General features: G+C 42.7%; 1 long non-coding RNA gene across 12 annotated transcripts in view, besides 2 other annotated features; it reads left to right on the top strand.

Annotated features, from left to right (window-relative positions):
- Window positions 1-25,146, top strand: part of DIRC3 (disrupted in renal carcinoma 3) — a 506,425-nt gene that overhangs the window by 340,903 nt on the left and 140,376 nt on the right. For 8 of the 12 annotated variants that reach the window (NR_186301.1, NR_186293.1, NR_026597.2 and 5 more), the window contains 5 exons: window positions 15,425-15,593; window positions 16,520-16,618; window positions 22,068-22,150; window positions 22,755-22,950; window positions 24,019-24,239. This is a non-coding gene — a long non-coding RNA (disrupted in renal carcinoma 3). Of the gene's footprint in view, window positions 1-15,424; window positions 15,785-16,519; window positions 16,619-22,067; window positions 22,151-22,229; window positions 22,382-22,754; window positions 22,951-24,018; window positions 24,240-25,146 lie in introns of all 12 variants that reach the window. The other 4 variants (NR_186298.1, NR_186296.1, NR_186300.1 and 1 more) reach the window with 4 other exon arrangements.
- Window positions 22,054-23,253: an enhancer, noted in NCBI's record as "CDK7 strongly-dependent group 2 enhancer chr2:218291011-218292210 (GRCh37/hg19 assembly coordinates)". NCBI's record gives its function as "activates an origin of replication core promoter dependent on BRD2, BRD4, P300/CBP, MED14 and CDK7 cofactors, with strong dependence on CDK7, by STARR-seq in HCT116 cells {active_cell/tissue: HCT116}" and the evidence as "EXISTENCE:reporter gene assay evidence [ECO:0000049][PMID:35650434]".
- Window positions 23,399-23,568: an enhancer, noted in NCBI's record as "experimental_56992 CRE fragment used in MPRA reporter constructs". NCBI's record gives its function as "activates a minimal promoter by MPRAs in K562 erythroleukemia cells, with activity observed for both the introgressed and non-introgressed 2:218290781 variant alleles {active_cell/tissue: K562}" and the evidence as "EXISTENCE:reporter gene assay evidence [ECO:0000049][PMID:34662402]".

Genomic DNA, 25,146 nt, shown 5'->3' with positions numbered 1-25,146 from the left:
ACACACACACGCACACAGACACACAGACACACACACACACACAGACACACAGACACACACACATAGGAGACATGCTGCTCTCCCGCTGCCCATTTCTTTTTGTCTCTCTCTCTCTCTATCTTGGCCTCTGTTAAGTCCCACTTAAACATTCAATAGCTTACTTTTCTTTCCTCTCTTCTGTCTGTGGGTGTGACATTTTATCCACAGCCCTCACTCCGAACATTGAATATCTTACTAATTTTCTTTTTATAAGCCCCAGTGTTAGAGGCATTTGAACCACAGCAACTCCATCTTAAATAGGAACTGGGTAAAATAAGGCTAAGACCCACTGGGCTGCATTGCCAGAGGGTTAGGCATTCTAAGTCACAGGATATATAGGAGGTCGGCACAAAATACGGGTCATAAATAAATAAATAAAACAGGCTGCAGTAAAGGAGCTGGCTAAAACCCACTAAAATCAATATGGTGACGAGAGTGACCGCTGGTCATCCTCATTGCTACACTCCCACCAGCACCATGACACTTCACAGATGCCATGGCAACGTCAGGAAGTCACCCTATATGGTCTAAAAATGGGAGGCAAGAATAATCCACCTTCTGTTTAGCATATAATCAATAAATAACCATAAAATGGCAGCTAGCAGCCTTCAGGGCTGCTCTGTGTATGGAGTAGCCATTCTTTGATTCTTCTACTTACTTAAACTTGCTTTCCCTTTACTGTATGGACTTGCCCTGAATTCTTTCTTCCTTGAGATCCAGGAACCCTTTCTTGGGGTCTGGATCAGGACCCCTTTCCTGAAACACCAGCGGCAGATTTGGTCATTGAGCGTGCTTCTCCCTTCTGCTGGGGGGGCGCTCCCCCTACCTCTCCCCTGGGCTGCCCCTTGCTGCCATTCTTGTCCCAGCACTGACATCCAGTCCTCCTAGGGGCCTTTGCTCACCTCCTGGCACTGCCAGTCACTCTCTAGCATGCCACTTCCTTCCCTCTTTGGCCTGGATTTTTTTTTTTTTTTTTCAGATGGAATCTAGTTCTGTTGCCAGGCTGGAGTGCAGTGGCGCCATCTCGGCTCATTGCAACCTCTGCCTCCTGGTTTCAAGCGATTCTGCTGCCTCAGCCTCCTGAGTAGCTAGGACTACAGGCGCCCGCCACCATGCCCAGCTAATTTTTGTATTTTTAGTAGAGATGGGGTTTCACCATGTTGGCCAGGATGGTCTCGAACTCCTGACCTTGTGATCCACCATCCTTGGCCTCCCAAAGTGCTGGGATTACAGGCGTGAGCCACCATGCCTGAACTGGCCTGGATATTTTATCTTCTTCAGAGTATTTAGCAGCAACTAAATGATTATGCCGGTTTGTTTACTTGTTTAGTTTCCATTTTTCCTTTTTTAAAAAATTATTATTATTTTTTTAAAGACAGAGTCTCACTCTGTTGCCTAGCTTTAGGCTGGAGTGCAGTGGTGCAATCATAGCTCATGGTAACCTCCAACTCCTGGGCTTAAGCAATCGTCCTGCTTCAGCCTCCTGAGTAGCTGGGATGACAGGTGCAAGCCACCATGCCTGGCTATGTTTTACATTTTTTTTGTAGAAGTCAGGTTTTGCTATGTTGCCCAGGATGGTCTTGAACTCCTGGCCTTAAAATGATCCTCCTGACTTTGCCTCCTAAACTGTTGGGATTACAGGCATGAGCCATGGTGCCTGGCTGCCATTTTTCTTTGTAGAATGCAGACATTTCTTCTAGGACAGAAACATCCATTCTGTTAACATCTTGTGTTGCTTTCCAGTAACAAACCTGTGCCTGGCTTGAGATAGACATTGAAAAATCATTTGTTGAATTTTAAAAGTCCACTGAAGTTGACTGAAGATGAACTTGAAATCATTTGTTGAACTTTAGTGCGCTTTAGATGACTGATGATGGATTTGAAATGAGCCTCCTCCACACCATGGGCCATCTGTGCTGTGGGTATAGGGCAAACAAAAAACAACATGGACAAGCCTCATGCCGGAACTCAGTCCTGGGTGGCCAATACAATGAAGGCCAGTGACGTGTTGACTTTCCTGTACTGCCGTCCTTCCCAGAGTCCTTCCCCTCACACTTGATGTAAATCCAGACTTTCCATCAGGCCTCTTTATATCCATCACAACCTCCCCCCACCCACCGCAGGAGAAAGGAAGATATCTCTAAAGGCTTTACCAGAGGTCCATGCCTTTTCCTGCTGGCTGCTAATCTCACCTTCTCCTGACTCCTCTTGAGCTCTTTGGAGAAAGCATCTCTCCTTCTCCCCTTGGTCTGCCTGCATGGGAAATTCTGAGGCATCAGAGCTCCTGCAATTCTCCTTGAGAGAAGAGAGAGACCACAGCTTCTTACAGACCTCCAGAGATGCTGGGATGGATCTCTGACTTGGCTCCCAATGTCCCCTTGTACTCAATCCAGTCTCCTCAGCTTGAGCTTTTAGGACAGCGTCTCTCCATCACCTCACTCCCCCAGCCCCATTTCACTATGTGCCCACTTCCCCTTATGTTTGGGCTCTCCTAGAATGTTTCCTGGTCCTGGTCTGCATGCCCAGCTCTCATGTGAATATCCCCTGCTGGCCGTAGTTCTCTGTAGAGAACTATACCTGCCTCTTTTTATTCTGGATTTCTCATTCACAAATCCTTACTCAAAATTCTTCCTGTGGGAGGGCTTTCCTGACTTATTCACTCTGACTTTCCCTACTTGACTAATTCCATCTGCCCCTCCAACTTGTCTGTCTGCCCAGAGCCACCTCCACAGGATCCAGGTGTGTCCAGATACTGGTAGGTATCAGATTTTAGGTCCCTATTTAATCTTCATGTTTGATGGAATTTTCTTATGGGTAAGAAAATAATTTTTCTGTGTCTGGGAGGGCAGTCTGTCTATGTATTTTTTTCTTTTTTACTAATTCTTTTTCTCTTTCATGGTCATCACAGTAGAGTGTAAACTGGAAGACCATGAATGAGTAATCATGGTTCCAGGTTTGTTCCTTCTTATCATTCTTGCCAGCCCCAATCCTGCTCACCCTCTCCATAGCCCTGTGGCTGACCAGTTGCAAATTAGATAAATCATCTTGAGTCCATCAGGAATCCTTCTTTTTAAGGTGTCCTAGCACAGGTTTGCAGGAGAAAGAAAGCAGAAGGGGAAGGAGTGGGCAGGAGAGGAAAGCACCTCTGACCTCAGGGGTCTTACAGTTTATCAGAGAAGGGGAACAAGCCATAAAGGAACAAACATAAAGGAAAACACTTAAAGAAGATTGAAGGAAGCAGCTTGGAAGCCCAGAATTTTGGCTTCTGGGTCTTTGTTTCACCCACTATTGACTGTCCTGGCAACCGTCTAGGAATATTTCAGAGTCACTTGGGTAGAGCCCGAGAATGAATCAAACATCTCTTTTCATAGACCCACCAGGCTGGCTGAGAGTGGTGATGGTCATTCTGTCCATCCCCTTGCCCCTAGGCCAGACCACATCAATTCAGCCTGCCCAGTCAGGGGTATCTCCCATTTCCAAACCTCACCGGAGACGGATCCTACCCAGCTCTGTCTGCTCTTCCTGCCCCTGTGGTTTTGAGCCTTGGTAATGAATGGCTGAGACGGCTGCATTCCTTGGACAGCCTCTTAGCCCTGCATATTTGTCAAGGACTCTTGGGAAGGGAGCTCAAGGGGATCTAGAGGCAAAGGCCTGTGTGAGGCTGCCCAGCCATACTCAGCTTTTTCCACTGGGCGTCTCAACTACAATCTGTCTGTGCTCCAAGGTGGGGAGGTGGTTCCCATTTGCAAGGGGATGAATGCTGGTGTTTGACTTATTGCTGTATCAGGGCCCAGAAGCTGTGGCAGAGAAAACATCTCTTTAATTTGGAAAAGAAAAAAAAAGACCAACTTTGAATTCCACCTGCCTCCTCAGTCTTCAGCATCGTTTCCTCTTCCACCCTACTTTTCTCACCTCTCCACGTGGGATGACAGCCCACCAGGACAGGCCTCACTGACAGCCTTGTCTCTGCTGGGGTCCCACAGTTCTGTTGTCCTGCTGGATGAAAGGCTGTCAGCTGATATTGCTCAGTGCTGAGAACTGAGGTTCTAGTGGGATGAAGAAATGGTCTTGGGTGAAAGGGTCACATCAAATAAGTGTTGGTCGAGGCCGAGATTTATGTATTTTTAAAAACAGATACCTCTGCCAAGTTTTCTTTATGTCTTTCCTATAGAAAATCTAATTTCTTCTAGACCACTTCAGCTTTTTCTATTCTTCAGAGTGACCCTATAGAGTTTGGTGGTCAACCATGCAGTCACTGATGGCAAATAAGAAGCAATGGATACCACATCTGTGGTTTCCTCTGTTAGGACATGCTCCCCACCCTGAACCCTGCACCACACCTCTGGCTATCACTAGCCTCATTCCCTTGGGGCCTTCAGGTCTTAATTCAGCCCAGGTAGTTGCTCCTCTTACATGCTGCCTTTGCAGTTTCAAAGGAGGGGAACTGAGAGAAAGTGGTCACACAGAGATCAAGAGGGGAGGAGACTTTAGGCAAGGAGTGCCTCAATGCAGTTGATAAGCATCCAAAAGTTTGGATTGGGTTTATAATTCAGCAAGAAATCAGTAACTTCCTGGAGAGAAATTTCAGGGGGCTATAAAGTCAGAAACTGAACAACAGGAGGTTGAGTAGCAAATAAGAATAAAGTGCAGACAGTGCCTTTAGACAACTCTTTCAAGAAATGACCTATGAAATTAAAAAAAAAAAAAAGTAAAAAAGGCATTAGCTAAAGAGGGGGAAGTGGAAAAGGAAGATGATTTATTTCTGTAATGTGAAGATGGAAGTGACCTGAGAAATGTAGTCTTGGGCTATTCTGTATTCTGTGTGTTCTTTCTTTACCACATCCAGATCCACTCCTTGCCCTACTCTGTGCCCTGAGAGGCTGACCTTTCTTGACTATGTTAAGGGGTCCCTTGCAGTCTGATTTCCTGTTGAGTTTGGCCCATGGGAAGCAGAGGAACAAAGGGCAGGAGAAGGAGTTGGGAGTATTTACTCCTTGGTCTCTGTCTTTACCAAGTTAAGGTTCAGTAGTGGACCATGTTCCTCTATCAAAGGCTGGCACTCCTGCCAGGCAGCTCTCTCCTATAGCACAGTGATAGTTCTCTACTAGGCCTGTTGTTGTTGGCTTGGGAGCTTCACCAATCCTTTCCAATTTATCTTAGCTTGGACTACATCTTTGCAAGCAGTCCCTTTAGTAAACTCTCCTCAATTACCCCCTTTGAGTACAACATCTGTTTCTTATTGGGGACCTGACTGGAAAAGGGGGGCAATTAAAGACCCTGTTTTTATCAGAAGCCTCCAGAGAATGCCAGGAATACAAAGAGAACCATTAGAGAAGCTGTAACAATAGAGGGAGAATAGAAATGGGAGAACTTTAGTCAAAACCATGTTATCACTTCACGTTTTGAGGCCTTTACTCTGCTTTTGACCCATCACAGTGATCGGTAAAATACAAGCCATGTCAATGTAGTTGAATCTCCAGCCCTGTGGGGCCACGGGTCAAAAAAGTAGGCAGAGGAAGCTGCATATGCAATTCTGTTAGTTTAAAATTGGGTATAGAAATCCCCATATTTCTGCTTTTGCTGTCAAGTCATGAAGAGGCTGGGGAAAAATGCTGCAACATGAATCTATGGCTTACATAAAACTGCATGTCTAGGAAGGCAGAAGAAGGTGGAGCACAGCCCCTGAGGGAAGGCCTGGGTCAAGGCACCGGCTAGCTTAGAGACTGATATGGTTTCTCTGTTTCCCCACCCAAATCTCATCTTGAATTGTAGCTCCCATAATTCCCACATGTTGCACAAGGGACCTGGAGGGAGATAATTGAATCTTGGGTGTGGTTCCCCCATATTGTTAGTGCTAGTGAATAAGTTTGAGGAGATCTGGTGGTTTTATAATGGGAATCCCTTTTTGCTTGGTTCTCATTTCTCTCTTACCGGCTGCCATGTAAGAAGTCCCTTTGTTCTTCCTTCATCTTTCACCATAATTGTGAGGCCTGCCCAGCCACGGGGAACTGTGAGTCCATTAAACCTCTTTTTCTCTATAAATTACCCAGTCTCAGGTATGTCTTTATCAGCAGTGTGAAAATGGACTGATACAGAGATTAAATCTGATATTCCTAATATCACACCAAGATAGAAATCCCAAACTGCCCATATATAACCTGAAGTGGACTCATAGAACATGAACCACAAAACCAAAATCCGAGACACGTGAGGAATATTAACCATAAGACAAGCACTTAACAAAATAAAATGTGGGAAAATAAATTCACGTCAGATGAAATGAAAATGATAGGACAATTTGAAAATGATTTAAAATGAAGTCTTTAGGATTGTCAAAGAGATAAAGTATAATAAAAAATTAAAAGATAAAATAAGAAATGATGAAACAAAAAAGCAAAAATTAAACCTATATAAGAGAATATAGTAACAATAGTAAATTGTGTACTAAAAAATTGCTATTTTAAAAAATAATAAATGGAATAAATTCTGAAGTAGAGTTTAGAGCAAACAATAAAAAGAGAGTATTTAAGTGGCAGTGATAATTAATTTTATGTGGCAATTTGACTGGGCTATGGGTTGCCCAGATATTTGGTCAGACATTATTCTGGGTGTTTCTGTGTGGATATTTTTGGGTGAATTTAACATTTCAATTGGCAGAGTAAAGCAGATTGCCCTCCATAACATGAGCAGGTCTCTTCAAATCAGATGAGTAGGACTGAATAGAACAAAAGCCAATCTTCTCTCAAGTAAGAGGAGATTCTCCAGCAGATCACTTAATAGGACTTCATCTGCACCATCAGCTGTCCTGCATCTCAAGCCTGCTGGCCCACACTGCAGATTTAAACTTGAAAGTCTCCATAATTGTGTCAGACAATTCCTTATAACAAATCTCTCTCTATATATATACACACCATATTGGTTCTGTTTCTCTGGATAATCTATTACAATGGGAAAATAGAACTCAGAAATATAAACAAAATATAGACAAAAAGAAAAATTATACATATATATGCATACAAACATATTAATGTTTGTATGGGAAGTTAAGGGGAATAGAAATGGATTGAGAGACTCCAGTATGCATCTGATTAGGAGTTCCAGGGAAAAGAAATAGAGAATGATGTAAGTTTCCAGAATTGAAGTCGTGAATCTTTTGGTGAAAGTTCATATAAAATGCAAACAGAACAAATGAAAATAAAACCACATCTATTTACACTGTAGTGAAACTGTAGAACATGAATAATAAAAATAAATGCATATTAGAAGCTACCAGAAGGAAAAGACAGCTTACTCACAAAGGATTAATGATTATATTCACAAAAGAATGATCTTCAGCTAGATTAGACCCCCATTGCAGATGAGTTGATATCTTCATAGCAGTAAGAAAAAAGTCAACCTAGAATTTCATCCCAGCTAAATTAATCAATTGTGAGGGCAAAATAAGGATACATTAAGTTACAAAAAGACTAAGAAAATTTACTGCTCCCAGACCCTTGCATTTAGTTCAAGAAAGAGAAAAGAGAAATCAGAGAGAACAATTGGGAGCAAGAGAGAAAAATTTGTAAAGTAGTTCAGTAAAAGTGCATTAACTATTAACTACATAAAAATAAATTTTGTATTAAAAAATGGGGCCAAAAGTCTAGACAATAGCATCAAAGAATGTTGGTGGTAGGGAGTGCTCAATAAACTAGTTAAAACATACTAAGATTTCTGTTTTGTTTAAGAGGATTCTAGAAATTATGAATAAACTTAGAACTTAGCAAAAATTTCTGTGAGGTCAGGCACTGCACAGTATTTTGGTCAATGATGGACCACATATATGATGGTGGTCCCAGAAGATTATAATACCATATTTTTACCATACCTTTTCTATATTTAAATATGTTTAGATACACAAATACTTACAATTTTCTACAGTATTCATTACCAAAACATGCTGTACAGGTTTGTAGCCTAGCAGCAATGGGCTATACCATATAGCCTAGATGTGTAATCAGCTATACCATCTAGGGTTGTATAAGTACACTCTACGATGTTTGCACAATGACAGAATTGCCTGATGAGACATTTCTCAAACATATTCCTGTTGTTAAGTGATGCAAGACTGTATATATATGTATATTTAACAATTTATCGGTAACCATTAAAATATAAGAAATACAGGCCGGGCATGGTGGCTCACACCTGTAATCCCAGCACTTTGGGAGGCCAAGGCAGGTGGATCATGAGATCAGGAGATTGAGACCATCCTGGCTAACACAGTGAAACCCTGTCTCTACTAAAAAAAAAAAAAAAAATACAAAAAAATTAGCCAGGCATGGTGTTGGGCGCCTGTAGTCCCAGCTACTTGGGAGGCTGAGGCAGGAGAATGGTGTGAACCCAGGAGGTGGAGTTTGCAGTGAGCCAAGATTGCGCCACTGCACTCCAGCCTGGGCGACAGCGCCACTGCACTCCAGCCTGGGCGACAGAGTAAGACTCCGTCTCAAAAAAAAAAAAAAGAAAGAAAGAAGGAAAGAAATACAATGTAACGTGTAAGTCAGAAGCTGATTGGTGAAAAGGCGTTGATGTGGAGAGAATAGCTAAAGCCCTATTAATCCAACACAAGACAGGGAAGGAGAAAAAAAAAGATTTAAAAAAGAAGCATAAAAGTAGAAAACACAAAAGAAGTGAAAATAAACATTGATTTACTAAAAAGCAAGGAGCAGAATCTTATAAACAGTATGGCATCATTTATTTTTAAAGTTACCAGGTACACAAAACAATAATAAATGTTTTTGTATAAAAATGTACTAAAAATATAAAAACTCATGGAAGTGGGATACATATCTTTATGTGTGGGGTTACCAAAAAGGGGAAGAAAATGAGGGGATGGGGCTTCAGTTGTATTTTAGTGTTTAATTTATTTTTAAAAGGCCTGAAACATATATGATAACATTAATATTTTTCAAAATTTTGGTTGTGGCACATGTGTGTGCTTTAAGTTGTTCTCTAGAATTTTTTATATCCTGTATTAGAAATACTTCACAATTTTTGAAGGAGAATAAAATGAGAAGTAGAACTATATGGCTGCGGAAACAGAATTAGGACCAGTATGAGTTTATGGCAATGGGGGATTTCTTTAGATCTGGAGAATTATTTGGACAGGACTCTCTAGGTCACAATCAGGTAGACACAGGCTGAGGCTCTGGATCACATAATTTTGTACTCACAGAGGTTTTGCTTTGTTCTATTAATAGCTAAGAAAGTAAAAGGAATACTTTGTAAGTAAACCACGGGCTAGGTTCTAGAACAAGTTGTGAAACTGAGAGAAGTTTGGCCCAAGGAGGACCAGAAAGGGGGTGTTTAATTCTCTCACTATATGCCAGGCTGACTTGTATACATGTGAAGTGATTGTGTAGAATTTCTTACCTAATATTTAGAGTATATGCTGTGTTCAAGCCTCTCTGCTAAATGTTTGACCTGTGTTATCTTCTTAATAATCTTCAGCCTATGAGCACTGTTTTGATTGCCTTTGTATTTCATTAAGAGACAGTATGAGGGCCTTTCCTCTCAGAAGTCCTCTCTCTCACACTAGATAGAGAGCTGTTTTCCTTTCTCTTTCTTCTGCCTATTAAATCTCCACTCTTAAACTCCTGGGTGGTGGGGTGGGGGGCGGGGGAAAGAGGCAGTATGATGAAGTGATTGGGGTCATAGACTCTATAGTGTTAGATCACAGCATTGCTCCTCACAAGCTGTGTGATTATGGCAGCTTACTTAACTTCTCTGTGCCTTGGTTTATTTATTTATTATTTTGAGACTAGGTCATGCTCTTTAACCCAGGCTGGAGTGCAGTGGCACTAACATGGCTCACTACAGCCTCAACCTCCGGTGTTCAAGCAGTCCTCCTGTCTCAGCCTCCCATGTAGCTGGAACCACAGGTGTGCACCACCACTCCTGGCTAAGTTTTTTGTTTTTTGTAGAGACTGGGTCTCGCTACATTGCCCAGGCTGGTCTTGAACTCCTGGGCTCAAGGGATTCTCCCACCCCGATCTCTTGAAGTGCTAGGATTATAGACATGAGCTACTGCACCCAGCCTCTCTCATTTTAAAAGTGGGGAGTAGGAGTATTTATCTCACTGCGTTGTTGTGCAGCTTAAATCTGTTGATATATGCAAAGACTTAGGAGACTGATTGGTATATAGTAATCTCTATATAAGTGGTTGCTATTATTATTTGCTATTCTGAGTGAGAAAACAAAAATCCAGAGAGATAAGGTAACTTGAAAAAGCTCCCAGCTAGTAAATGGTAGAGCTAGGCCTCAAATCCAGGATTAATTAACTCTAAATTCAAGTACTTAATTGTTATAATATTCTGCCTCCTCAGGAGACATAAAAAATATAGAGACATTAGAAAACAAAAAACATCAGAGTTACTGGAGAGAAGTAGGGTGAATCAGAAATACAGGAACAGAAACTTTGTGGCAGAAATCTGGATTTTCTCTTACAGGGTAGCAGACAGAGCTGTGAGTCTACCTATCAACACACTCCCCCTTTCCTCTCTTTTAAAAGGCCTACTGATGGGTTCAGGCCTTTGCCTTCCTCTGTGAAGTTATGAACTTCTGGAAAGATGGAGCCCCTCTTCAACTCCAGAACTTTATTTATGGTTGATCCGAGTCAATAGTGGTCCTGTTCTTCTTGATAGGAATTGGTTTGGGCACGGGCAATAAGATGTGAGAGAAGGCCTTATCCCATGGAAGGGTTTCCATGAAAGGTGTATTCATGTGCGAATAGATGAGCTCTCTTTTCTGTTGGATGTTGTGGTGTCTGGGTGTCTTGGTCTTTTGGGCTTCTATAACAAAATACCATAAACTAAGAAGCTTATAAAAAACAGAAATTTATTTCTCACAGTTCTGGAATCTAGGAAGTCCACGATCACGGCACTGGCAGATTCAATGTCTGGTGAGAGCCTGCTTCCCAGTTCATAGATGGTGCTTCTCACTGTGTCCTCACATGGTGGAAGGGGCAAGACAGGTCTCTGGGACCTCTTTTTTAAAGGCACTAATCCCAACCATGAAGGCTCCACCCTCATGACCAAATCACTTCCCAAAGGCCCCACCTTTTAATATGATCACATTAGTGGTTAGGTTTCGACATAGAAACTTGCGGGGGACACGAACACTCAGACCATAGCAATGGGTAAGACTATGGTAGTCACGTTTCACCAGTAGATTAGCTAACCCAAGGACGAGCCCATACATGAGGGTGCTAGAGCAGGAGGACAGAAAGAACCAGGGCCTTGTTGATGTCTGTGAGCTTTGAATTCACCAGCCTCAGAATTGTCCTACCCATAGACTTTTGTTATAGGAGATAATGTTTTCTTAATTGCTCAAGCCAGTTGAGATATATTCTGTTACTTGCAGCCTGAACCATCCAAACCAGTTCAACTACAAAATCAAACTCTTGCTATAAGAGGAGAGAAAGAAATAGTGCCATGGTATCTTTAGGTGTGTGCCTAGAGGGGCGGCCCCAGATCTATGGGTTTGTTTCCGAGAGTGAGGATGGGTTGTGGCCCTGCAGGGTTGCCGCTGAAGCTGGTTTCTCATGTTGTGTTGGAAAAGGCCATTCTGGGAGCTGGGTCACGAGCTCCTGGAGAAGCAGAGTTCCCCAGCCCTTTAAATGGAGGAGCTCCCATAACAACCAAACAAGCAGGATTCCAAGCGGGAAGATAACAATGATCTTGGAGCTTCTCCCTACTCAGATTAGATGCATGAAGGTAATAAAAACCACCCAAAAGAAACTGCAAAAAGAGGCCTTGGGAAGCACATTCAAGAGGGTGAAAAGGAAGAACAGAAGGAACCCGTGGAAAGAAAATCTTCCAGACCAAATGATGGTCCAAAAATAATGAGACCAAAGTTCAAAAAAGTAATTTAAACCAAATAAGGCAGGGAAAGCCTAGCCAGCAAGGGGCGGGCTCACTCTGCAGGGAGCAGGCGAGCAGAGGGGATGGAGCTGAGCAGAGTTCAGTTCAGGACAGCCCATGGGTCAGAGGGAACTGAGGAATGTGCCCGCTGCCCAGGTCAGCAAGGGGGGCAGCATCAGATGGCATGCTGTCTTACCTCCCCTGCCCCAAGGGGCCTGGAGCATTGCCACCACCCTCACTGGTGATAGGGCTGCTTGAAGTTGCAGAGCACAACCCATCTGGGTGGGTTTGCCGCCACTGCAACAGAGAGCCTGTGGGACCAGGCAAATGAAGGAAGCCTTACTTGCTCATAGCCAAGCTTCTTTTCAGGTTCTATTTTATATTTTATTGCAACAAAGAATTCCAGGGCCATACTCTGAGCCAGGGATGATGGGTGCTAAGCTCATTAACTGCCTGCTCAGTTTGTGGACTTGTTCCTGCTGAATCTGTAGTCCAGGTACTGCCAGTTTCTTAGTGTCAGAGCCCTCATAGGGTTCATTTGTGCATCCTGCATGTGGATATGTGTGTGCATTTACCCAGATTTTTAAAAAGCTTTCTATTTACCTTTTCTATTTAGCACATACCCTCTTCCATACTTAAAACTCCACACCTTCTACCACAGCTTTTAGAGTGATAGCACTGGGTTACAATACATGTTTTCGCAGGAATTGAGCATTTAAAGAGGTACTAAAGTGAACATGAAGAATTTAAATTCTAGGTAAACAGCTCTCAAAAGCTCTCTCTTCTTTGTGCTTTCCCTGATTATGATATCTGATATTTATTCTTATGACAGAGGACAAACTAAACTGTGTATCACAGTCACCGATTGATTCACTCTGCACCACTGGTCCCCAGTGGCATTTGGGGGCAATGTGATGTCTTTTTCTTAACTCAGGGCCCTCTTAGTCCCTCCTTGTCCCTCTCTGGAGCACTTATGAATTCTTAGGTCCACTGTTCAGCCCGGGCAGGCCATGGAGTGCAAGCAGTGCTGCTGGAGGCTTGCCTAGCTGGTCACTTTCCTGCTCCACCGCTAAAGTTTCCGCCCTCACTCAGGCCATGCTGAACATGGCTCTGTGTGGGGCTCTTCCAAGATGCTCCCAGTCTCCCCTAAGCTGTGTTTGGGAAACAGTGTCGCTGGTCTCCTCCTCCAAATATTCTCAGGTTCCTTCCATATCTAGTTGGAAATGTTCACTATGCCTCCTTCTGATCTTGGGGTTCACCTCGGGAGTGGGGAGATTAGGACATGTAAGTCACATCTCTCTGCTGTATTTCTGTCTTTCTCTCCTGCTCACAGCCCCCTTGGGATACACAGATAGGTTCCCTTTCCGCTCTGGTCTTCAGAGTAGGGTGTGTGTACAACATTCCTTTATTTTCTTCCCACCTGGCAAGTGATTTGCCCGTCCCTATTTCCTGAGACATGAAGGCAAATAGGGTGCAAGGAATGAGAACTTGTTTTCACAGATAAGTGAACATGACCTTTGAAGTGGTTAGAAAAACACAGCAATCACACTAGCATACATAGACCCTTGAGGCTGGCTGGGAGCCCTGTACAAAAAATAAAAATAATAAATAATAAAGGCTGCTTTCTGGCTGAGAAGGGAAGGGAAGAGTGAGGATTGTCAACAGTATGGGGGTAACAACTCCACAGGTTCTGCAAGTTTTTCTCTCTGAAAAAGAGGACTCTTGACTTTTCCTGCTTTGCTTTTAATTTCAAAACAGCACACATACTTTCATCTCCCACAGGATGTTCCTAGGAGCAATAACGCCAGGGATGAATTTCTTCCCATCACATGAGCAGGATGGCACAATGAAGATGCCCCCGGGAAAGACCCTCCTATTTTTTTCTAATTCAGAAAAAGCAGAAGAATAATATGATACACATATCCCCTGCTCATATTTAAAATGTTCACTTTTTGTCACTTAGGCTTCAGATAGTATATCTCACAGTTAAAATTGAAAACCATTTTGTTCCTCCTCTCCATCCTAGTCTTGCTTCTTTCTCTCCAGCGATGACCACTGTCAGTAATTTGATATATACTATTCCGGTCCATGTTTTTATTAGCTCATTACAGATTTTATATATCAGATAATAGATGGTATTGCTTTGTAGTTGTAAAATTTTGGCTGAATAATACACTGCATGAATTGTTTTGCAATTTGTTTCCAGTAAACAATATGTTTTTGAACTGTATATTTTCTTGCATATAGATACAATCCCTTCCTTTTTTTTTTTTTTTTTTTTCCTGAGATGGAGCCTCGCTCTGTCGCCCAGGCTGGAGTGCAGTGGCATGATCTCAGCTCACTGCAACATCTGCCTCCCAGGTTCAAGCAATTCTCCTGCCTCAACCTCCTGAGTTGCTGGGACTACAGGCACACGTCACCATGCCAGGCTAATTTTTGTATTTTTAGTAGAGACGGGGTTTCACCATGTTGGCCAGGCTGGTCTTGAACTTCTGGCCTCAGGTGATCCTCCCGCCTTGGTGTCCCAGAGTGCCGGGATTACAGGTATGAGCCACCACAACTGGCCAGTCCCTTCATTTTAAACTGCATTTAAGTACTCAGTTTGTGAATACAAATATCTATTAATTCCTCACTAAAAAATATTCGTTTTTCAATCTTTTCTCCCAGGGTTTTATTTTTAATAATAGGAACAATTGGCTCTACCTAATACTTCAATTTCAGCCCAAAATTGGCCAGAAGACATCGTTGCCTTAGAGCAGCCTGTCTTCCAGTTGACACTGAACTGCTGTCGACCGGAAGATGGTTGAGAGTCCACATGTGCCCCCAAATAGTTGCAGACTGTGTGTGCAGGGCCTGATTCTGTTCTCTTCTCTGGAAAATGGGATCGTAACTGTTTCTATCTTCTTGGGCTGTATGAGGGATTGGTGGTGTGGAGCTTGTACCACAGTGTCAAGCAGACACCCCTGTTCATGCTAATACATACAGTATTTAATGCCTGGTATAGACCTAGACCCCTGACTCCCTGGCCAGTTGTTTTTCAAAGACACTCCCTGCCTGTGTTACCACTGTTGGTAAGACCATGTCTCAAAGAGTTAATCATCTGGAAGACAGAAATCTAACCACAAGAGGCAGAGGCAGTAGGCTGTAGAGTTAAGTGGCAGGCTCACAACCCCAAGTGCTGTCAGTACTCACAGCTTCTTCACGCCAGCAGCTGTCTGTACTCTGGATTGTTTTGAGCGTGTCTTTGCAGGGCTTGCTTGTGCCTGCCAAGTTCAGCTGCCTGCAGAAGCACAGCTCAGAGCCGTCCCTATAGGCCTAGTCCTTGCACAGGTCTGGCCAATCAGAGCTCTGTTACCAGGCAGAGCCTCTCTCTCCAGCTCTGGTCACTGTCAGCCTAGCTGTCCAGGCACCCTTCTGCAATTTTCGTTTGAATTGATTTTTTTAAAAGCACCTGATATACACTTTTCTTCTTATTCTTCTCCTTCTAGTCCTCTATTCAAGGCCCTACCACAGAGACACACAGGAACGGAACTCAGAATCACAAACAAAGAAACTTTGATCCAAGAAAGAAAATGATCTTTAAAAAGACCCTCGTTTCATGCTGGCCGATGCTGAGAAAATCTGCTCTGAAGGATATTTGGAGACACTGATTAAAAGGTAGTACCATCACCACATATTTAACTTCCCCCTCTTTTTCCTCTGCTTCTAGGAGTAGAGAAACCAACAAAACCAACCGGAGAGAGATGGTTTCAAACAATCTGTCCCCCACCCCACCACTATTCACACCTTTCACAAGGGCCCAGCCACAAAGCCAGTGCAACATGACATCAATCATCAGCAAAGTGGAGGTGACAGACCCTGCCTTTCCCCTCTTATGGCATATTTGCTCATCTTCTCTCTTCCCCACTCCTCTCTGATAAGAGAAAGGACGAAAGCAAGGCAAGCGCATTCCTGAGCGGGAGCTGCAAGCGCCCAGGCTCATGACTACTGAGGAGCACACTGGAAGGGGAGAAAAGGAGGGGGGAAGATTGAGGGACCAAGATGGCGGGATAAAATGCTGTGGATGGAAGGGCAAGTTCTCCTGGGGTAGGAAGTATGAGGGGTCAGGGAGTTTGGGATGCCAAAGAACAGGAGAAGATTGAAAGTTTAATAAGCAACCTTGACATATGCTATGGCACATCCTAAAATGTTAGAAGAGATGTGAGTACAGGTTGGAATACCGGTATACCCATGCTGTTTTGAATTCAGTAATGCTTTGATACTGAGACATGCCCCACAGCTTTCTAAGCATTACACTTACTTATACTGCATTTTTAAAGCAGTTTTATAAGAACATATGTAAGTAGATCAGTACCATTAAAATGGGGTTAATTTTTTTTCCAAGTCACAATGGTGTAGGGCAGGTTGTGGTGGGAGGATTAATTATCTAGAAATCTGGCTAAAGCTAATTATGAAACTGTTATTGCTAAGAGAAAGGGGGAATTAGGCAGAAAGCCAGTCTACCTTGCTTCAAATGGATTTTCTCTAGATATCTGATCCTCTCAGTCTCTTCCTTAACCTCTCCTTCTCTTCCCCCTTTCTAGATGGTTGTCCCAGTGGAGGGGGATTCTTCGTGTTACGTAGATAGGAAGCACGATGCAAAAGTGTTGAAGCAGGAGTGTAAAGAATAATTAAAACACCTGGTGAGTTCTAATTTTATTTTTGAAGAACATAGCTTCTAAACAAGTGTAAAATACAAGCCATGGCCCTAAAAGCCAGGGTCTAATGAGTTAAAAAATGTCGTGGTTCCCATATCTTAAAGTTTTGCAACTCCTCCCCCTACCCCAAACAAAAAGAATCCTTTTAGGAATGAATATTTCATGTGTTAAAGTGACATTTTTTATATTAGGATTTTTTAAAGGTTCCTAATAATCTTTTTCTTAGTCTAAATTCAGGCAAACTTAATACTTTTGATTTTAAAAAGTAAACAGCAGTAAGATCTCATTTTTAGAAAGTTATGCCTATCAGTATACATTGAGAGATCACAGGAACAATTCTTACGTAAAAGTAACAAGAGTGGTCTTAATGATGGAATACTGGAGTGATTTTTTAAACTTTTTTGTACTTTCCAGCTTGAATAATTTAAAAAACAAAACTATATATTGTTTTATACAGGTAGAACATAAATTTTTTTAAAGGAAAAGAGATTAGGCAATCAGTTGCTTGAGAAGTAATTGAATGCCAAATATTAGGTTGGTGCAAAAGTAATGGTGTTTTTTGCCATTGAAAGGAATGGCAAAAATCGCAAATTACTTTTGCACCAAACTAATACTTTTTCCTGTAGATTTCATGAGGTTTCCTCTGTGTGTGTGTGTGTGTATCTGTGGGGGTGTGTGAGAGAGAGAGAGATAGGGAGAGAGAGAGAAAGAGGGTAGCAGTGCCTCAGTACATCTATTCCCAGGAGACATTTTGTGATATCTGAGTTCTAAGGAATGAGGACCAGACAAAAGGGGCAAAAGCAGTAAGAGGAAAAATGGAGATCAGGAAAACTGGCCATGACTCAGCAAAAACACAGTGACATTTTCAGAAACCCAAAGCCTCAGACATTACAAAGTCGCCCACACCCCTTACTTCTGAAGAGAGTTGTCCTGGCCCTCCCCATTTCAGGTGGGCTCCAGCCTAGGCTGAGTAAGCATTGCGAGCGAGGAGTGAGGAGGCAGGTGGGTGGATTGTCCCTTAAGGTGCAAGGAGGAAACAAGTGCCCTGTCTGTGGCTGATTGAACTGGGGAGGACCAGAGACCGGAAGGTATTCTCAATAGCCAGTATTTCTCAGAAACAGCGGAAGTCTCCCAGACAAAGCAGACGGGTTGGCATCCCTTTCTTGAGAGTCAGTAAGAGGGAAAGGACTGAGGCAGGCCTAGCCAACATACCAGGGACAGTGGTGAAATTTCGAGAATCTGGAGGGTCTGCCAGCTGTGCTTCCCACAGCAGCTTTCAATGCCTGCCCCTGAAAAGCTGGCATATACCTGGCTGCCAAACCATAAAGGGACATACCTAGAGTGAAGGACCAACTGCCCTTAAATTCACTGCCTTGTGCCAGCTCCTAAGTTACTGTAGGGATCTGTGTGGGTCTGGCCCCTCTTCATGGGCCCTGGGACCCTTCAGAAATCTATTCTTGTGCTTGGCATCCCATCTTATCTTCTCCTTGCTCTGCTGTTAGGTGATGGGTGAACCTATCAACACCCTATCTCATGTCACCAAGTACTCAGATTCAAAATTGAAATCCAGTTCCTACTAGATCACTAGCCCTCCTCTTTTACTTCAATTTCTCATAGCCTACAAAGAAAAGAAGAAACAACACATACGAACAAAAGATCAATTAAAAAAAACAGAGGAGAGATTTCCTGGCATTGGGCTGGGGGCACAGCAGGAAATTCTAGCCACACAAACGATTCTCCATGGCCAGAGAGTTATGCATCATGACCCTTGGGTTGAGCAACCCTAATGCAATACCAGGGTGTTAAAGGGCTGGAACTCTCTTGCCCTCTGGTAGGTCAGTTCTTAGCTGTAATATAATTTTACAGATGAAAAATTCCAGAGAGCAGTGACTTGCTCTGTGTTACACAATGAGACATAAATACAACGTACAGCAGCCACATAGGCCTAGTACTAATTATTTGACATCCTAAGACCTTTCCTTTATTGTCTGAAGTGGCTTAGCTGAGATGAATATCCAGCATGTCATTACAGCGGGAAGCCAGGCCAGCAGACTTCATTGTCCTCAATTCTGTCTCAGTTACACTAAGCTTTCCTACCCCATTACCTAAGTTTTGAGATGTAAAGTGGAAAGACACATTTAGTCGACATTGTACCAAGACAGAAGGTAGAAATTCGTCATGCTTGTGCCTCCCAGGTCTCAGGGTGCCTGATCTGTTTTCCTCTCGGCCCAGGCTTATCTTCAGGGCCACTTTCTCTTTCTTTCTTCGACATCAAATATCAACCCAGCCCCTTTGTATATCGCAACAGCGATTTAGTGGACACTCTAGCTGACTGATTTTGTTCCATTACAAAATGAGTTTCCTGCCAGAATAGAGGGGGAGATTATATAGACAGACATACATTTACAAACACAAAAGTAATGTGGAAGGGTGATATGGAGGCACTTTCAAAATGGCAGGACCTGCCTCCAGGCCATGGCAGCTTCTGCCCACAGCCCAGAGAGGCCACTCATATGCTGTGAAAGTAAAGGCATTACCTCGTCGCCTTGTCACCACCTGAGTGATCCATGAATGGCTGTTCTCTCCTCACTACAGGTGAACTTGGTCAGGACAAGAAGCTCCAAAGGCTTAGTCAAATTCTTTGTTGGTACTACCCTACTTTACTCGGTCGTATTATATAAAGCTGTTTAGCCAGGCCCTTGCTTCATACATTCCATGTCGCTGAGCAAGAACTCAAATTCTGGTTAGCTGCCACCCCTCCCAAGTAAATTTTACTTGATGTGCAGTTATGTGCTGAAATATACTGTGTCCTATAGAAATGAGCAAGGTGAGGGAAGGAGATGCAGAAGGAATTGAGTTGCACACTTTGGATCAGATTCGTGCAGGAGTTATATGGATGAACTGACATGCCCCAAACCAGATGAAGAAATCCACCTCTAAAACTCAGCCAAGAGCCTGTTTATAGAGGGCTTCATTGTTTATAATTTCCATGTCAGTGCTTCTCAAATGCTCACTACTCCTCTCTTGTTTTGGCCTTACTAAATTGGGGTGAGCTATGTGGTTCTTGCCCCTGATTTATCAATGTGAAAAGAGAGTCTTTAGGGATTTGACCATAGACAAGTCCCCAGGGGAGTGAGGGGTGGAGGTAGAGTAAGTATTCTGCTTTTCCAGCCTCTTTACTCTTGACTCCACTGCCTTAAAGCAAGGTGTTGCCAGAAACCACGGTCACCTCCTCTTTGTGAGACAAACATGAATCTCTCTTGGCCTATTACTCCCAAGGAAAGCAGAATATAAAAAGACATGTCTTCAGCCTTGCCAGATGGCTTCGGGGTAAAATTCTTCCCCAAACCAAGTGTTAGAGTCCAGTCAACTGTTTCAGGGAGGGCAAGAAGTAACATGGAGAAGTATTTAATGCTCTTTCTTCCCCAAAATTCCATGACATCCAAGCTTGTGGTGAGCAGGCCCTGCCAAGGCAGACAAGATCATTGAGCTGAAATCAAGAGAATGGGTCCTTGGCAGAGCAGACCCTTATAAGGATGAAGATTGGATGCTGGGGAAATCCTACCAGCCCTTGGCAGTCTGAAGGTCTGAGGTTCCAGACTGGGCTCTCATTTTCCATACCTCCCTAGGAGCTGGCTGCATAAGGCATGAAATAAGCTGAAGAATCATGAGCACCATCCAACCCATCTGGGAACCCACAGTGGAAAATTATGGGAGTAATATGTTGGGACAGCCCTGGCTTCTTAAGACTAATGCATATTTTTGTGCTTTTCTGCATACTTTGTACAACTTTTCATTTTGAAAAAAATGAACAGGTAGCATGAAGAATGACTACTTATTCTTCAAATGCTTTGGAGAAGCCAGAGCCTGGGGAAGCCAATGAAAGGGAGGATGGGGGTAACCAAGGAAAATCGCTCTCAGGAGAAGCATGAAGGAGCAGCACATTGGGTCTCAAATCCTGTTATAATGAATGCTTGGGCATTTTGTGCTGGGTTTTTTGATAGAATTAGCATTAGGACTCTTGAATGAATTAATGGGACATGATTTATGCTCCTACTTTACACCAAACACTAGAAAGGTAAAAATAAAGAATGAATAAGTGGTGGCTTTTTCACTTAAGAAATGTTTTGCTTGAGAAATCAAAGCTTTGAAAGCACAGAGACTTCTATTTAGATGTTTGTTTTAACTGCTTTTCTTTTTCCATGCTCTTCCTTACTCTTTTTCCTCTCTTCGCTTTTCCTCTCATCTTTTCTACAAAGTTCTGAGTCTTCTAAACATGAGACAGTCCAAGTCATTGTGATTTAACAGATATCAAAAGAGCAGCACCCTTATCTAAAGAGACACATCTGCACACCAGACCTTCAATGCGGGACACTGCAAATGGGCTATATGGAGCATTTGGGAAATCGCTTAGCAGAGGCTGATTCTAGAGGCATTCACTCTGGGTTGTATCTGAGAACACTGACTTTGCTTCAGGAGCCTACAAACTTCATATTGGGACGTGCAGGAGAGCAAATCAGAGCAAATATGTTGGAGACTTTCCTACCTCATCCTGACCAGGAAAGAGCAAAAGGTCTGAGAGCCTGGCTAAGCACATGTGGGCTCCATGGGCCCTAGATTCTGCAGTGAGCTATTCTTGACTCCAACATTCTATTCCAGGTTCTACCCCCAACCCAAGTGGCCACTCCTCAGTTTCCCCATTTCTTTTTTCTCTCTCTGCCCCTCAAGCACCCATCTCTTTCAGATGCTCTGTTCTCCACTCCCTTTTACAAATTCTTTCTCAAAGACCTCATCCATTCCCATGGCTTTGATTGTCACCCACAGTACATGTTGTCTCTCAAATCGGAACCTGTCTCCTGGGTTCCAACCCTAATTGATTATTGGGTGTTGCAACTGAATTTCCTTCTCAAATAAGACACATAGTCTCAAACTCTTGACCTGTTCCCTCTCTGGTATCTCCCATCTTAATACATGTCACCGAGATGTAACCAGTCTCCCATGCTAGAAATCTGGGAACATCCTGGACTCTGTCCCTTTTATCGCCCTCCTTAAGAGTCACTAATACTATTGATCATGGTTTCTAAAACTCAGTAGAAATCAGCATCTTGGCTTTCTCACCTGTTTCTTCCATTCTTCAGGCCCGTTCATTTCTGTCTGCAACCATAACTCCTAACCATCAAGTGATCCTCACACCATGAGATTGTGAATGAATTCCTTCACCTGTCTGTGGTATTTCTTCATCTAAAACAGAAGGACATTGAACTAAATCTCTGAGAATGTTTCTAGCTCTGACATTCTTTAATTGGTTAGCTTGCATATATCACAGGCCGTAAAGCAAAAAAACTGAGTTTTCTCTCCTTTCACTTATTCCTTGCTTCCCAATAACTTCTTAAATTCTTCTTTCTCCATTTTGCTTTTGATTGAAATATGGCAGCCCAAGACCCAAGCAAGGATAGGATTTCCCAGACATTCGTGAGGGAGAAAATGCCATGTCCTTTCCTTCTGGTGTCACATCAGGTAAGGAGGTTGCCTGGGGCTAGGGCTTAAACAGAGTGGGTGTTGTTCTCATTGTTATCATCACTGTTACTGTTTCCAGGGCACTGCTCCATGGCTATGCAGAGGCAGACATTCAGGTGGAAAGTTATAAGACAATTTCCCCCTGTGAATTAATCAGAGGGCACATATGAACATCTTGTTGCCAATTCACCCCCACCACTGTCTCTTCAGCTAAGACACCAGTTTAATGAGGTAGTTCCTGAGGCTTGGAGTTTCCCTAAAGATCGCGTCTCCTTTGGTGTTGATTGAGAAGCTCCATCGAGGGCACCAAGGGGAGTGGTGAGATGGTACCCTTGCTGAGAGCTGGGGAACTCACCATAGTCTTTGAAATAACACTGCCCTCTGTAAGCGTGAGGAGTCACCATTCTTTCTGACTTCCCACTGGCTGGGAGGTGATAGGGAAGAGCTAAGATTTCCATTCTCCCGTCCCCTGAAGTTGGTGTTTTGCCTCATATTGTGCGGGAAGTGGGCAGTTTGTCTTAAATGTCTCCCATCACTTTTCTTTGTACTAAAAAGATCATTGAGAAATGCCTTTTTTTTTCTTTTATACGCATCATCTTCCTAGAATCTGAAGGCTGCTAGAGAAGGGAGAGAAACATGAAAGTGAGTCCCATGCTGATTGTTGTTGAAATACCTGGAAAGAAACTGGCAAAGACTATCCAAGGGATGCTAAGACATGTCCGAACTTACAAAACAGTAGAACCTGAATAGGAATTTGAAGTTGTCTATACTCTCCTCAGCCACACCCTGCCATTTTACAGGTATGAAAAATAAAATTTTCAGCAAATTAGTGATAGATACAAAGTATCTGGATGCCCAATCCTGTGTACTTTCCATTACCATCTGTTTCCTAATTGTGTGTGGATTTCCTTGCTCTCCAGAGCCAAGGAGCATCAATATTTGGCTTCAGAAATCCTGCTAAATCCTGAATAAACGGGAGTGAACAAGCAAGGTAGCATTCAAGGTCTCTTACTCCTAAACCCAGTTGCAATACTTGTATTAAACCCTGGGCTCCAGGCTGCTTCAGTGCTATTTAACTTTCTCTTTACAAAGAGAAGAGAAAATGTGGGGGTATCAGACATATCCCACCCTTCCAAGGCCCCATGCAGACTCTTAAAAGATGAGGGGGTTTTTGTTTGTGCATATGGATCAAAGAAAGACTTTCTTGAATTTTGGTCAGCAGGGTTTGTTTTAGATCTGTGAAGTGTGGAAGAGGTCTCAATTGAGTGATGTCATGGAGGACTGGGAGGATCCCTTTCCTCATGCAGAATCACTGTTGAGGTGCATTCAACCGTTAGAATTCCGCTAAGGTAAAATACGGGGAAATAGCATAGGTTAGGAGTCATTGTACCTAGTTTCCAAGCCTGGTTCTGCTCCTGTAATTTATAACTTCATCCATATGTTCGTTTAATTAGGAAACAAAACAGTCATTGAATTAATATATGTCTTGTACTATTATATGTGCTGAGTATTCAGTGTGAAATAATGCAATATTTTTATTGATCTTATATTGTGGTGGGGAAAGCAATAATTCACACATACATATATAATATAATAATACCAATGTTATGAAGGAAGCAAAAATCAAATAAGGCAGTAGAAAGTACCAGACAAGGAGATGTGTTTGCATAGGGGTGTGTTATAGTGCTTTAAAATAGGTCCACAAACTCTTTCACCCTCTCTTCAAAAGGTGCAGCCTAAGCTACCTCCCCTTGAATGTGGGCTTGGCTTAGTGACTTCTTCTAGCAAATAGAATAAAGTAGAAGTGATGATGTATGGCTTTCAGGCTGGATAATAAAGCCACTGTGTCTTCCTCCTCCTGTTTTTAGATTGTCTTCTCTGGGGAAGTTAGCTGTCATGTTGTGAGGATACTCAAGCAGTTTATAAAGAGGTTCATGTCGCAAGGAATGGAGGCCTCCTGCCAACAGCCATGTAAAGGAGCCATCTAGGAAATAGATTCTCCAGCCCCAGTCAGACCTTCAGATGATTACAGCCCCTACCAACCTTCTGACTGCGGTGGAAGGAAGGTTCCGGAACCAGAACCACCCAGGTAAGATAATCCTAGATTCCTGACTTAGAGAAACTCTGAGATAATATTTGTTGTTTAAAGCCACAGCTTTGTGGGACAATGTGTTAAACATAACTAATACATGTGATTAGGGAAGCTCTTAATAAGAGGCTAACAGTTGAGCAGAGACCGGAATGAAAAAGGGGAATGAGCCAGGTAAATATATGTATGAAGAATGCTTGAAGTAGAGGGGATAGAACTGGTATAGGTCCTGTGGTTAGAACAAGCTTCATATTTTTCAAGGGAAATTGCAGGACTTGGAAATGGGCAAGAGATACCTAAGTATCCATTCAGTAGAGAGCTGAGCATTGTCTAGGGTATCCTCTGGGGATATCTGATTATATTGAGATGTTTCTCTTTAACTGAATTTCAATTTTCTAAGTTATTTTACTTGTGGAAAACTGACAGTAATGCAAATGATCCTCCTTAAAGAAATACAATGAATTTTGTCTAATAGAGATGTGACTGAATTCTACCCTGTAGAAAAGATAGTCCCAAACAATACATTTTAAGCAGCTCTATTGAAATATGATTCTTATACCATACAATTCATCCATTTAAAGCTTACAGTTCAGTTTTGTTCCGTATGTGCACAAGCTTGTACAAACAGCACAGCAATCTAATTTTAGACCATTTTATTGCTCCTCCTCATCCCTACAAAGAAACCCCATCCCTATTAGCAGATCCTTCTTTCTTTTTCATGTTTTGCTTTCCCCATCTCCCAAGCCCTAGACAACCACCAATCTACTCTCTGTTTCTCTAGATTTGCTTATTCTGAAAATTTTATGTAAATGTAAACATACAGTATACAGTCTTTCAAAACTGACTTCTGTCACTTAGCATAATGGTTTCAAAGTTCATTTATGCTATAACATGTATCAATACTTCA

The sequence above is a fragment of the Homo sapiens genome, chromosome 2 (genome assembly GCF_000001405.40).
Source record: "Homo sapiens chromosome 2, GRCh38.p14 Primary Assembly".
In the NCBI taxonomy this organism is placed as follows: Eukaryota; Metazoa; Chordata; class Mammalia; order Primates; family Hominidae; genus Homo; species Homo sapiens.
Note: the sequence above shows the minus strand (reverse complement) of the source record. Positions and strands in the feature narration are given on the sequence as shown.